At 53.8% G+C, this 15000-nt stretch overlaps 1 protein-coding gene across 7 annotated transcripts in view; it reads left to right on the top strand.

Annotated features, from left to right (window-relative positions):
• Nucleotides 1–14402, top strand: part of LMF1 (lipase maturation factor 1) — a 127980-nt gene extending 113578 nt beyond the window's left edge. For 6 of the 7 annotated variants that reach the window (NM_001352019.2, NM_001352017.2, NM_001352018.2 and 3 more), the window contains one exon: nt 13330–14402. In NM_001352019.2, coding sequence (NP_001338948.1) covers nt 13330–13504 — 175 coding nt within the window. In that variant the 3' untranslated portion in view covers nt 13505–14402. Of the gene's footprint in view, nt 1–12771; nt 12930–13329 lie in introns of all 7 variants that reach the window. The other variant, NR_147885.2, reaches the window with a different exon arrangement.

Below are 15000 nucleotides of genomic sequence, written 5' to 3'. Positions count from 1 at the left end.
GCCGCCGATTCTGACGGAAAACACAGCTCTGGATTTTCCCTCCAAGAACACTCGGGAGCTGGGACAGCTGCACCCTCTGGAGTTGCTCACAGCTGCCTGGAGACCCCAGCCAAGGAGCCGGAGGGCGGGGATGGGAGGGGCGCCGAGGTCCACAGAGGCAGTGGAGCAGCTGGGCCCGAGTCTGGCAGCCCAGGCAGGTGCTCCCGGCCAAGCGATGCTTCCAGGGCTGCTTCCCCAGCACGGGTATCACAGGGAGCTGGGGCAGAGGGGCTATGGGGTCCCTCCTCATGGGCCCGGCCTCAGGCAGTCCAGGGGAGGCTCCATCCCAGAGCCCCCGGTGGGGTGGCCGCCCTCCTAGCTGGCGCCCTCAGGGCCACCTTCCTGTGAATTGGCATCAAGCTCCAGGTGACTTGCCTGCCACGTGGCCACCAGCAGCCCTGGGAGCCTGAGACCTTGGAGCCCGGACAGGCGGCCGTTCCCCTGGCTCACTGGGGACCAGGCCCCAGAGCTCGTCCTTCGAGGCTCAATACGGGTCTTCTCTGTTACTGCCCCGTCTCAGCAGCCTTCAGAGCCCCCCAGCCCCCACCCCAGATCGCAGCCTCCTCGGTGCCTGGGGACCCTGGAGCTGGCCCAGAGGAAGGTTTGCCATCGTCAGGTCGTGACGGAAGCCTCTTCTGGCCAAGCACACAGTCGGATCATCTGTTTCTCAGCCAGGAGGTGCTGGAAAAAGTAATCATGTCAGAGCAGCTTCAGGTCCATCCATGAGTCCCAAAGTCTACCTGAAAGGATGGATACTGTGAAAACCAAGTGTGAAAAGCAGTAACTATTTTATGTGAACCAGTAATGAGTTAACATTTAGGGAAAACATTATTGAACACTGCCACACGGCACATCTCTCCCGTCTCCATGATACACATGTTTGGCAGCTGGAGCAGGTGGTACCATGACAGGCTGTGGCTAACCGTGGGCCTGCATTGAGTTCATCATCGACTTTAAAACTGGAAGATGGAACAGACACTTACCCCTGTTCCTCCCACTAAGTGCAACCAAGATCCCTGGACGTTATACATAAAACAGGAAGACCGAAGGTGAGAGAAGAGAGCCACCAGCAGGGCCCTCGGGACGGAGCCACAGCCCCAAAATGGTGGTGATCGCCTAGGCTTGCTTTCGGCCTCATTTTCTAGACTTGGGGGTGAGGAAACTGGAAACCCAGTAATGCCAGCAGATGCAGACAAGAAACACCTCAACAAAAATCTGCTCTCTCTGACTAAAGGGCCAGAAAAGAGCAGCCTAGCAAGACAGGAAATTTACATAAAATAATCACCACTCCAGGCAACACCACAGAAAAAACCATGGCCCCACCCACACCAGCAAGGTATGGAGTAGGGAGCCTGGACTCTCCTCCAAACGGCTCACTGGGATGCTACCAGAGGAGGCCAAATAGGAAGCTGAGATTTTCATCCAAGTGGGCAGGAAGGATCCCCCGCTTCTGTGGTATCAGTGGAGACCACACGAGGAGCCTGGACTCCCCCAACCCCTGGCAGTACTGAAGGGCTCCTCCCCTCCAGAGTGGTATTACGTAATAGCTACCAGAAAGTCAGGACCTTCACCACCACCCAGCCAGCAATGACTAGGCCACCCCCGCCATAGTGTCATGGAGGCCTAGTGCAGAGCCACGACTCCCACCCTACCCAGAAACAACAAGGAATACTCCCAATGCGTCCACTGGAGTTCTACCCCAACCTGGCAGGAGCAAGGTAATACCCCTGTCTCTACCAGCATGAGGTCAGAAGAAGTCATCTAAAGCAGAAGGTTTAAATAAGATCCAAAATCTCCTAATACACAAAATGTTCAGTTTTCAGTGGAAAAATTACTTGTCACAGCAGGAAACAGGAAGACATTGGTGAAAAAGGACAGTCGACAGATGATAGCACCAAGATGAGGGAGGTATTAGAGTGACTTCACAGAGATGTGAATGCAGCCGTCGAAAACGCATGCAGTAATTATGAACACAACTGATAAAAAATACAGCCTCAGCAAAGAAATCGGTTTTTTAAAGAACCAAATGAAAAGTTTAGAAGTGAAAAATATAACTGACACAAAACACTCGACATCTGAATGGTGAGGACAGAGGAAAGAATCAATAAACTTAAACATAGAAAGTACCCAGTGGGAACAAGTGAGAGGACATAGACGGGGAAAAACAGCAAGAGCCCCAGGGATCTGTGGGACTGAGACTGTAACAGAAGATCCAGAATTCATGTCATCAGAGTCCTAGGAGGAAGACAGAGTGAGCTTTAGGGCTGAAAATGTACTTGGAGAAATAAGAACTGAAAACTTCCCAAATTTGGCAAAACGGACAAACCTACCGAGTCAATAAACTGAGCAAACCCTAAATAGGAAAAACCCAAAGAAATTCAAACCTAAACACATCAAAGTCAAATTTCTAAAAACCAGAGATAATAAAACATTGCCAGCCTGGCCAACATGGTGAAGTCTCGTCTCTACAAAAATAAAAAATGAGCGAGTATGGTGCCACACGCCTGTAATCCCAGCTACTCAGGAAGCTGAGCAGGAGAATTGCTTGAACCTGGGAGGCAGAGGTTGCAGTGAGCCGAGATCACACCGTTGCCCTCCAGCCTGGGCAACAGAGCGAGACTCAATCTCAAAAGAAAAAAGAAAAGACATGGGTAAATACAATAGACGTTCCTTCTCTTGAGTTCCAATCATGTTGGATGGTTAAGCAAAGGCTATAAAACTGTCTGAAGTAGTTCAAAGTTTATGTAGAGGAAGTAGTTAAGATAACTATAAATGGATGAGGGCAAATGGACATAGAGGTGAGGTTTCTATGCTTAACTTGAAGTGGTAAAATGACATCAGTAGACTGTAAGTTACGTGCCAAGAACAGCCAGTAAAAAACAACCTATACTAAGAGATACATTGGAACACACTATTGACAAATCAAAATGGAATTCTAAAACACTTACATAACCCATAGGAAAGCAGGTTGGGAAAAACAAAGAAATCAGAAACAGAACAGATGGGAAGAAGTAAAATGACCGACTGTATATTCAATGTAAATGGTCTAAATAAGCCAATTAAGAGATAAAGATTGGCCAGGTGCAGTGGCTCACTCCTGTAATGTCAGCACTTTGGGAGCTGAGGCAGGTGTATCACTTGAAGTCAGGAGTTCAAAATCAGCCTGGCCATCATGGCAAAACCCTCTTTACTAAAAATACAACAATTAGCCAGGCATGGTGGTGCATGCCTGTAATCCCAGCTACTCGGGAAGCTGAGGCTACAGTGACCCAAGACATGCCACTGCACTCCAGCCTGTGCGACACAAGACCCTATCTCAAAAAAAAAAAAAAAAGATAGTAACTTAAATATATGCATAATGAGCTTATGCCCTGATAAATGCAGCATAAGTTGAAAATGTAAGTCAAAAATGAGTTTAATACACCTACCAAACATCCGTCGTAGCTCAGCCTAGCCTACTACCTTAAACGTGCTCAGAACACTTACATTAGACTACACTGGGCAAAATCACCTAGCACAGGCCTGTTTTGTAATACAGTGTTGAATATGTCATTTACTGAATACTGTATGGAAGTGAAAACAGGATAGTTGTCTGGGCACTCACAGTGCGGTTCCTACCGAGTGCGTATCCCTCGCACCATTGTAAAGCTGAAAAACTGTCAGTGGAACTCTCATAAGTTAGGGACCCTCTGTATAGGCAGGTTGAAAGTAAAAGGATAGAAAAAAATATGTGACTATTAATGAAAATAAAGGATTCATTGTATTAACCTCAAAGTAGACCTCAGTGCAAAAATTATTGGAGACAAAGACGGACAATGAGAAAAGAATCAACCTGCCAAACAGATGTAGCAATCCTAAGTGTGTGCACTAAGCACAGATCTGCAAAACATGTGAAGAAAAAGAACTGAAAGGAGAGCTCGACAAATCAACAATTACGGCTGGATGTTTCAACACCCTTCTTTCAACAATAGGTAGAATAACTAGATGGAAATTCAGCAAGAACATAAAGGAGCACCATCATCGACAGGCAGGGCCTAATGATGTTTATAGAATATGCCACCCATTGCACTGAATGACATGTCACATTTTCTGGGATGTAGTTAAACTAGTGATGAGAGAGAAAGCACCAAATGCATACATTAGAAAAGAGACCTGAGATTTTAGAAAGAGGAAGGATCTCAAATCAATAATCTGACATCAGCTGGATGCCGTGGAAGCACCTGTAGTCCCAGCTACTCAGGAGGCTGAGGTGGGAGGACTGTGTGAACCCAGGACGTTAACGCCAGCCTCTTGGCATCAGGCAGCACAGGAAGACCCCATCGCTTAAAAAATAATAATAATCTAGCTCAAGATCACATGAATAACTAGGAAAAAATTTAAAGCAAGGAGCAGTAAGAAAATAGTAAAAAGCAGAAAATGAAACTGAAAACAAACAATAGAGAAACTTATTGAAACAAAGAGATGGTTCTTTTAAAAGACCAATAAAATCAGCAACCCTCTAGTAAGAATAACAAAAGGAGAAGATACGATTGCCAATATCAAAGATGAAAAAAGAGGTTGGGTGTGGTGGCTCATGCCTGAAATCACCGCACTTTGGGAGGCCAAGGCGGGTGGATCACCTGAACTCAGGAATTCAAGACCAGCATGGCCAACATGGTGAAACCCGGTCTCTACTAAAAATACAAAAACTTGGCTGGGCGTGGTGGCAGGTGCCTGTAGTCCCAGCTACTTGGGAGGCTGAAACACGAGAATTGCTCGAGCCGAGACTGCAGCACTGCACTCCAGCCTGGGCGACACCACAAGATTCTGTCTCGAAACGAAAAAGAGATATCACTACAGACCCTGCAATCTGAAAAGGATAATAAGCGACTACGACAAACATCTACATACATAAATTTTATAACTTGGATGAAATAGACCAATTCCTCAAAAAACACAAACTACCACAACTCACCTGGTATGAAATAATAATTTAAATAGCCCTATAACTAGAAATTGAATTTGTCATTTTAAACTCCAAAAAGAAATATCCAGGCTCAGATGGTTTCACTGGAGAATTCTAAGATTAATTTCCCAGAAAATAGAAGAGAAGGAAAAGCATCAATTTACGTTTTATTTATTTATTTATTTATTTTTTGAGACAGGTTCTCACTCTCTGTCACCCAGGCTGGAGTGCAATGGCACAAACATGGCTCACTGTAGCCTCGACCTCCTCAGCTCAAATTATCCTCCCGCCTCAGCCTCCCAGGTAGCTGGGACCACAGGCCCACACCACCACGCCTCACTAATTTTTTTAGTTTTTGTAGAGACAGGATCTTGCCATGGTGCCCTGGCTGGTCCCAAACTCCTGGGCTCAGGCAGTCCTCCCACCTCAGCCTCCCAAAGTGCTGGGATTACAAGCATGAGCCACTGTACCCAGCCTCAATTTATTTTATGAAGCTAGTGGTTCTCTGATACCAAAACCACACAAAGATAATACAAGAAAATAATATTACAAGCCAATATCCCTCAGTGATATAGACACAAAATTTTTTAACAAAATATTACTAAATAGACTGGGCACAATGGCTCACACTTGTAATCCCAACACTTTGGGAGGCCGAGGCGAGCAGATCACCTGAGGTCAGGAGTTCAAGACCAGCCTGGCCAACATGGTGAAACCCCATCTTTGCTAAAAATACAAAAATTAGCTGGGCATGGTGGTGGCTGCCTATAATCCCAACTACTCGGCAGGTGGAGGTTGCAGTAAGCAGAGATGGTGCCACTGCACTCCAGCCTCGGCAACAGAGTGAGACTCTGCCTCAAAAAAAAAAAAAAAATTACTAAATAGAATTTGCCAATATATAACAAAGAATTCTATGCCATGACCAAGTAGGGATTATTCCAGGGATGAAGGTTGGTTCCGTATTTGAGAATCAGTCGATGAGATCCACACGTTACCAGCTACCGAAGATAACTCACACGATCACATCTGTCAGTGTTGGGAAGGCCCGTGACAAGTTTAACATCTATTCATGATTTAAACTTGGAAAAACAGAGAAGGAGAGGAACTTCCTCCGCTGGATAAAGAGCATCTGTACAAGCCCTGCAGCCAGCATTCTCCTCGAGGGCAAGGAATCACCCTTCACCATTCAGATCCGGAACAAGAAAGGACGTCTGCTCTAACCATCGGATCCGGCATGGTGCTGGAAGCGCTGGGCACTGCAGTACGCAGGACAAGGAAAGAAAAGGCGTGTCGATCACAAAGGAAGAAACGAAACTGCCTGTTTACAGATGACGCCGTTGTCTTTGTAGGAAATCCCAAGGTATCCACCAAAAACACTCCTAGAATTATGAAGCGAGGCCGGGCGCAGCGGCTCACACCTGCAATCCCAGCACTGTGGGAGGCCAAGGCAGGCCAGTCACCTGAGGTCGGGAGTTCAAGACCAGCCTAACATAGAGAAACCCTGTCTCTACTAAAAAAAAATTCAAATTAGCCAGGTGTGGTGACGCATGCCTGTAATCCCAGCTACTCAGGAGGCTGAGGTAGGAGAATTGCTTGTACCGGGGAGGCAGAGGTTACAGTGAGCTGAGATTGCGTCACTGCACTCCAGCCTGGGCGACAGAGTGAAACTCCATCTCAAAAAAAAAAAAAAAAAAAAAGAAAGAAAATTAATAAGTGAGTTCAGCAAAGTCAGAAGACACAAGATCAACCTAAATGATTCAATAGTATTCCTGTACGCTAGCAATGAACACACAGACACCTAAATTAAATACGCAGAACCACTTAAAACCACTCCAAAAAGCGAAATACTTAGGTATAAACCTGACAAAACATGCACAGAACTTACATGCTGAAAACTCAGCAATGCTGCTGAAAGACGTCAGCACACACCTAGAGACACGGCCGCGTTCGTGGGTTGGAAGATACAACAACGTGGAGATGACAGGTCCTTCCAGATTGATGGACAGGTTTAATGCAATTCCTATTAAAAAAAAAACCCAGCAAGATGTGTTAATAGGTAAGGACAAGTCATCCCAAGTTTTCTATGGAAATGTAAAGGAGCAAAAATAGCTAAAACCATTTTGAAAGAGAACAAGGTGGAACGAATCAATCTACCCAGTTTCAAGACACAGAACTACAGTAGTCAACACAGTGTAGTATTGACAGAGGGACAGACATGCAATTCCATGGAACACAACAGAGAACCCACAAAGAGACCCAAACAAACATGCCCGGATGAGTTTTTTTTACAAAAGCGCAAAAGCAATTCCATGGACAAAAACAAAATCTTCGACCCACGTCTCACCCCACACAAAAATAACTCAAAACGGATCCTGGACTTCAACGTAAAGCATAAGACAATCAACTTTCAGGGCCAGGCATGGTGGCCCACATCTGTAATCCCAGCACTTTGGGAGGCCAAGGTGGGCAGATTGCTTGACCTCAGGAGTTTGAGACCAGCCTGAGCAACGTGGCAAAACCCCGTCTCTACTAAAAACACAAAAAATTAGCAGGGCCTGGTGGCACATGCCTGTAGTCCCAGCTACTCGGGAGGCTGAGGTGGGAGGATCACTTGAGCCTGGGAGGCAGAGGTTGCAGTGAGCCGAGATCACACCACCACACTCCAGCCTGGGCAACAGAGCGAGAGCCCATCTCAAAAAAAAAAAAACTTTCAGGAAAAAATAGAAGAAAATCTTTGGGATCTAGGGCCAGGCAGAGTCATTATACTTAAAGATGATCTGTGAAAGGAAAAATTAATTGAAATTCATTAAAATTAAAAGCATTTGCTCCATAAAAAGACCTGTTAAGAGAACAAAGATAATTTTTAAGCTACAGACAGAAAATATTTGCAAGTCACGTATCTGACAATAGTCTAAAATCTGGAATATGTAAAGAAGTTTCATAACTTAATACTAAAATAATCTTATTAGAAAATGAGCACAGAGACGTTTCACCAAAGAAGGTGCACAGATGACAGATAAGCTCAGGAGAAATGCCTGTCATTAGAGAAGCAAAAACCACCATAACACCACTGCACACCCATCCGGTACCATCACTGCACACCCATCCCGTGACACCACTCACACCGATCCCGTGACACCACTGCACACCCATCCCGAGACACCACTCACACCCATCCCGAGACACCACTGCACACCCATCCCGTGACACCACTCACACCCATCCCGAGACACCACTCACACCCATCTCGTGACATCACTGCACACCCATCCCGAGACACCACTCACACCCATCCCGAGACACCACTGCACACCCGTCCCGAGACACCACTGCACACCCGTCCCGAGACACCACTGCACACCCGTCCCGAGACACCACTGCACACCCGTCCCGAGACACCACGCACACCCGTCCCGAGACACCACTGCACACCCGTCCCGAGACACCACTGCACACCCGTCCCGAGACACCACTGCACACCCGTCCCGTGACATCACTGCACACCCGTCCCGAGACACCACTCACACCCGTCCCGTGACAACACTGCACACCCGTCCCGAGACACCACTCACACCCGTCCCGAGACACCACTCACACCCGTCCCGTGACACCACTCACACCCGTCCCGAGACACCACTGCACACCCCTCCCGAGACACCACTGCACACCCATCCCGAGACACCACTGCACACCCGTCCCGAGACACCACTGCACACCCGTCCCGTGACAACACTGCACACCCGTCCCGAGACACCACTCACACCCGTCCCGAGACACCACTCACACCCGTCCCGTGACACCACTGCACACCCGTCCCGTGACACCACTGCACACCCGTCCCGAGACACCACTCACACCCGTCCCGAGACACCACTCACACCCGTCCCGAGACACCACTGCACACCCGTCCCGTGACATCAGTGCACACCCGTCCCGAGACATCACTGCACACCCGTCCCGAGACACCACTCACACCCGTCCCGTGACACCACTCACACCCGTCCCGTGACATCACTCACACCCGTCCCGTGACACCACTGCACACGCGTCCCGTGACACCACTGCACACCCGTCCCGTGACACCACTGCACACCCGTCCCGTGACACCACTGCACACCCGTCCCGTGACACCACTGCACACCCGTCCCGAGACACCACTGCACACCCGTCCCGAGACACCACTCACACCCGTCCCGTGACACCACTCACACCCGTCCCGTGACACCACTCACACCCGTCCCGAGACACCACTCACACCCGTCCCGTGACACCACTGCACACCCGTCCCGTGACACCAGTCACACCCGTCCCGAGACACCACTCACACCCGTCCCGAGACACCACTCACACCCGTCCCGTGACACCACTCACACCCGTCCCGTGACACCACTCACACCCGTCCCGAGACACCACTGCACACCCGTCCCGAGACACCACTGCACACCCGTCCCGAGACACCACTCACACCCGTCCCGAGACACCACTCACACCCGTCCCGAGACACCACTGCACACCCGTCCCGAGACACCACTGCACACCCGTCCCGAGACACCACGCACACCCGTCCCGAGTCACCACTGCACACCCGTCCCGAGTCACCACTCACACCCGTCCCGTGACACCACTCACACCCGTCCCGTGACACCACTCACACCCGTCCCGAGACACCACTCACACCCGTCCCGAGACACCACTGCACACCCGTCCCGAGACACCACTCACACCCATCCCGAGACACCACTGCACACCCATCCCGAGACACCACTGCACACCCATCCCGAGACACCACTGCACACCCATCCCGTGACACCACTCACACCCATCCCGTGACACCACGCACACCCATCCCGAGACACCACTCACACCCATCCCGTGACACCACGCACACCCATCCCGAGACACCACTCACACCCATCCCGTGACACCACTCACACCCATCCCGAGACACCACTCACACCCATCCCGAGACACCACTCACACCCATCCCGAGACACCACTGCACACCCATCCCGAGACACCACTCACACCCATCCCGAGACACCACTCACACCCATCCCGAGACACCACGCACACCCATCCCGAGACACCACGCACACCCATCCCGAGACACCACGCACACCCATCCCGAGACACCACGCACACCCATCCCGAGACACCACTGCACACCCATCCCGTGACACCACGCACACCCATCCCGAGACACCACTCACACCCATCCCGAGACACCACTCACACCCATCCCGAGACACCACGCACACCCATCCCGAGACACCACGCACACCCGTCCCGAGACACCACTGCACACCCGTCCCGAGACACCACGCACACCCGTCCCGAGACACCACGCACACCCGTCCCGAGACACCACTCACACCCGTCCCGTGACACCACTCACACCCGTCCCGTGACACCACTCACACCCGTCCCGTGACATCACTCACACCCGTCCCGTGACACCACTCACACCCGTCCCGAGACACCACTCACACCCGTCCCGTGACACCACTCACACCCGTCCCGTGACACCACTCACACCCGTCCCGAGACACCACTCACACCCGTCCGGTGACACCACTCACACCCGTCCCGAGACACCACTCACACCCGTCCCGTGACACCACTGCACACCCATCAAAACGGCTGGAATAAAAGTAGCAACAACCCCACATGCTGGCAAAGATACCAAGAAATCGAGTCACTCGGCTGTTGCTGGGAGGGTAAAATGGCTCCTCAAAAAGGACACCCGAAGTTGCAGTGGACTCAGCAGCTGCTTCCATGGACGTTTAAGCCAGAGAGTTGAAACCCAGGTTCACGCAGAAACCCGTGCAGAGGTTTACGGCAGCCGTCACAGACAAAAACTGCAAAGAGCTCAGCTGTCCTTCCACAAGAGAGCGACCGCACAAACTAGGGTGCACTCACGCCGCAGACGCCGGTCAGCGACGAGGAGGAAGGAAGCCTCCATCACACGACCTGGCGGAACCTGAGAATTGGCGTGAGAATCGCCTGCCCCGCGGGTACGTGCCGCAGGGTTCCACTCATTCTTGAAATCATACGTTCTTGAAATCACACAAGGAGGCCGAAGGTCGGGGAGGGTGTGGAAGGACACGGGGGTCCGGGCGTGGATGGGACCCGTGTCTGTGGCCTCAGTGTCAGGCCCTGGCTGCAATCCCTACTATAGCTGTGCAAGATGCCCAGCTGTTGCCAGTAGGGTCTATTTCAAAAGGGCTGGGAGATCCCCTATTTTCAACACTCTCAAGCCCTCCGGGGCGGTGCCATGGCCTTCTCGGGTACTTTGTCTGCAGGAATGAAATGCAACCCTTCAGGCCGCTGGGGCCTGGGGCCCCTTCCCACCAACCTGCCAGTTGGCACAGAGGGTTCTGACCCTTTCCAAAACCCTTTCCAAACTGCAGTTCCAGCTCTTGATGTCAGAGACCAGGCCCTGGGCCCCCTAGGCCTTGACCCTGTCCTGGGAAGGAGCAGAAAGCAAGAGCAGGAATTTGGGAAAGATGGGCAATCCCACTGCAGGAGGCCTTCCCAGGATCCCCACCCTCCCGGCCTCACTAAATGCAGGGTTTGGGAGAGGGTGGGCCTGCCTGGGGACTGCATTGCCCTAGCAAGGCCCAGGAGAGTGTGCAGGGACCATGCTGCCCGCACAGCCCAGCGCCCTCACGGCCGCATTCCAGCCCGTCCCTTCAGTCTGCTGCTGAGCTGCTCAGAGGTCGACCTCGGGGTCCAGTGTGACTTCTCTGCCTGGCACCACCTGGCCTCAGTCCCCATGCTGGCCGCTGCCGTCCTTATAGCCAAGGAAAACCATGGCAGCCTCAGGCCCAAGGGGTCCAGGAAAGACCCCTGGGGCCCAGGGCAGTGGGCAGTGCCCTCCTGGAGTGGACGGGAGCCACCAACTGCCAGCATCACCCTCAGTCTTGGCTGCCCGGGAGGTTTTCCAAAGGCCCGACCCCACTCCTCTTGGAGCTGCTGATCCCTCTCTCCCATCAGGCGCCTCAGGGACCCTCCTCCACCCAGAGGGTCTCTGTCTTCCCGGTTTTCCTGGCGTAATTCAGACTTGGGGAGAGAAGAATCATCATCCATCACACACCCAGACCCAAAGAGACTCAAAGCCAGGAGGAGCCGGGTGGACCCAGAGGCCCTCACCCTGCCAGCCTAAGGGGCATGGCCCAAGGTCTCCACCCCCAGCCCCCAGAGCACAGCTGTGTGCAGGTCACCAGAAGCCCCAAATAATGACAGCAGCCCAGACAGTCGCTACCGGGCCCTGGTGCAGTGTGAAGCCTCTGGCACCTGCCTGGGCTCATTCCAGGGGCCATGAGAGGGTCCTGTTATGGCTGCACCATCACACCCACCGGGCAGCTGGGGCCCAGCTCTGCCATGGATCCCAGCCAGGCAGCAGCCGCCCTGTGGGCTGAGAAGCTTCCGCTCCTGCTGCACAACTGCGAAGGGGCCTGGAGGGCCGGGAGCTTGTGACGGTGACAATTCCTCCTGGCGCCTCCTCCTCCGGGGCAGCCGAGCAACCCTGGACATGAGGGGGCTTCGTCCCACCCCCAGGAGAAAATGCCCAGTCCTCCGAGAGTCCAGTGAGGGCTTGCCAGCCAGGGACCAAGACCCAGTATGGCCTAAACCAGGCCTGGTCACCAGGGGTCAGGCGGGACCTTATACAGGGCTCAGCAGAGAGACCTGCCCGCTACCCTGCTCCAGGGGAGATGGGGGTGGGGGCCTTCATCCCACTCGGGCATGACAGAGGAGAGCAGCCAGCCAGCATCTGCACGTCTCAGGCAGGGAAGGGCCTGAAGCCCTGGGAAGCAGAGGCTCCGCCCTCAGGAAACAGGTCCCGGCCTGGCTCCCTCACAGCCTCGGACTGCCCCGTGGACCGAAACCCCCAGGCACCTTGCGCCAGGACTGGCCTGATGGTGGAGACGCCACACCATGAGCAGTAGGTTCCTCTCCCCACCTTCCCAGGCGGGGGACACTTGGGGCTCAAACTGGGGCCTTGTGAACGGTCTCAGGCTTGCTCAGTGCCACCCGTGAAGCTCCTGGCCTTCCCCGGGCCGGTCCCTCTGCCAAGTGGGCCCTGCTGGGTCTCCCCTCCCGGAGCTGCCCCCCGTCCGCCCTTCCCCCTTGCTGCGCTGTTCACTGCTGAGGGTGCCGACTGGAACAGTTGCCCTGCCCGGGGTCTGCTGGGGGTCTACCTGTGCTCAGGGTGGGGGCTCCTCATGCAGCCCCTCTGTCCGTGGGGGACCCTGTGAGCAGCTGCAGCTCAGCAGCAGGCTGAGGAGCCGGGTCGGGGGCCGGGAGTCCCAGCAGGCCCTGGGCTGACATGTGCCCCCTTGCAGGTGGGTCCGAGGAGAGCACTACAGGTACAAGTTCAGCCGTCCTGGGGGCAGGCACGCCGCCGAGGGCAAGTGGTGGGTGCGGAAGAGGATCGGAGCCTACTTCCCTCCGCTCAGCCTGGAGGAGCTGAGGCCCTACTTCAGGGACCGTGGGTGGCCTCTGCCCGGGCCCCTCTAGACGTGCACCAGAAATAAAGGCGAAGACCCAGCCCCTCGGCGGCTCAGCAACGTTTGCCCTTCCCTGCGCCCAGCCCAAGCTGGGCATCGCCAAGAGAGACGTGGAGAGGAGAGCGGTGGGACCCAGCCCCCAGCACGGGGGTCCAGGGTGGGGTCTGTTGTCACATACTGTGGCGGCTCCCAGGCCCTGCCCACCTGGGGCCCCACATCCAGGCCAACCCTTGTCCCAGGCGCCAGGGGCTCTGATCTCCCATCCATCCCACCCTCCTCCCAGAGGCCCAGCCTGGGGCTGTGCCGCCCACAGGAGTTGAGACAATGGCCATCCTGACACCTTCCTCCACTACAGCCCTGACCATAGACCCAGCCAGGTAGCTCTTGGGGTCTCTAGCGTCCCAGGGCCTGGTTTCTGTTCCCTCTTCAATGGTGTGTTCCCAGCCAGGTCCTGACCCTCAGAGCCAAGTCCCTGTCACGTCTGGGGCAGCCAAACCCTCGCCCCACAGGGACCTGGACACGCCCGGCCAGGATGTGGGGTTGGATGGGCCATTTTCTGTCCTATCCCTCATCTCCACCCCCGCCACAGCCTACACGCATCCCACACATGCAGGCACACACAGCCTGTGCACACATGTGTTCTTGGCCCGGTTTCATCCCCCCATGACTGGTGTCTGTGAGGTGCAGATGGACACAGCGCACACCCAGACCCTCCACCAGGCTGTGACCTCGCTGCCTCTGAGGCCTTGACAAGGCCCCTCAATCGGAGGACAGCCGGCCGTGCACACTTTCATCATCGTCGGACAAACAGCGTCTACTGCACATTTTTCTTATTCCTATTCTTGAGCCATAGCTATGGCATATTCTTCTACTATTCCTATTATACCACTTACCAGCTTACTCGAAAACACACTGTTTAAATGAAGAAGTTCTTGTACCTCCCTCCCCTTGGCGGTGGCCGTGCCCCCAGCCCACACTCTGATGCTGGGGCAGCGGGTGACCGAGCGGGAGCTTGATGGAGAGGTGAATGGGTGGTGCTTTGCCTGGCGACCCTTCCAGTGTCTGCTGCGGCAATACTTGGAGTAAATGGGAATGAGCAGGGGTGCCAGCCCTGCCGGAAGGAGGCAAAGCTCTGGGGCAACGTCCCCCACCCAGGACGCTGTGAGGCTGGGTCCTGGGAGAAGTCAGAAGTGGGCCCCACCATAGGACAGAGGCCCTCCCCTCTCCCCCAGCCTGGGGGGGCGGTTCCCCCACCCACCCCTTCCCCCTGCCTCCATCCACGGCACCTGGAGCCATGATGCCCACGGCTGAGCCACTGTGGGGGGCCCCAGTGGGGACAACACGGTGGTTCAGGCCGAGGAGGGCGGCTGCGGTAGGCACAGTGTGGGTCTGTGTGGAGCCCCCCCTCGGCCTGCCCGGGGGGGACAGCCAGCCCAGGTGCCAACAGAGGGCCCGTGTTCCAGCTCCCGGGGAAACAGGGCGCCCTGTGTCTGTGGAGGGACAGAC

This window comes from Homo sapiens, chromosome 16 (assembly GCF_000001405.40).
Source record: "Homo sapiens chromosome 16, GRCh38.p14 Primary Assembly".
NCBI classification, from domain to species: Eukaryota; Metazoa; Chordata; class Mammalia; order Primates; family Hominidae; genus Homo; species Homo sapiens.
This window is presented reverse-complemented; position numbering and strand designations above follow the sequence as displayed.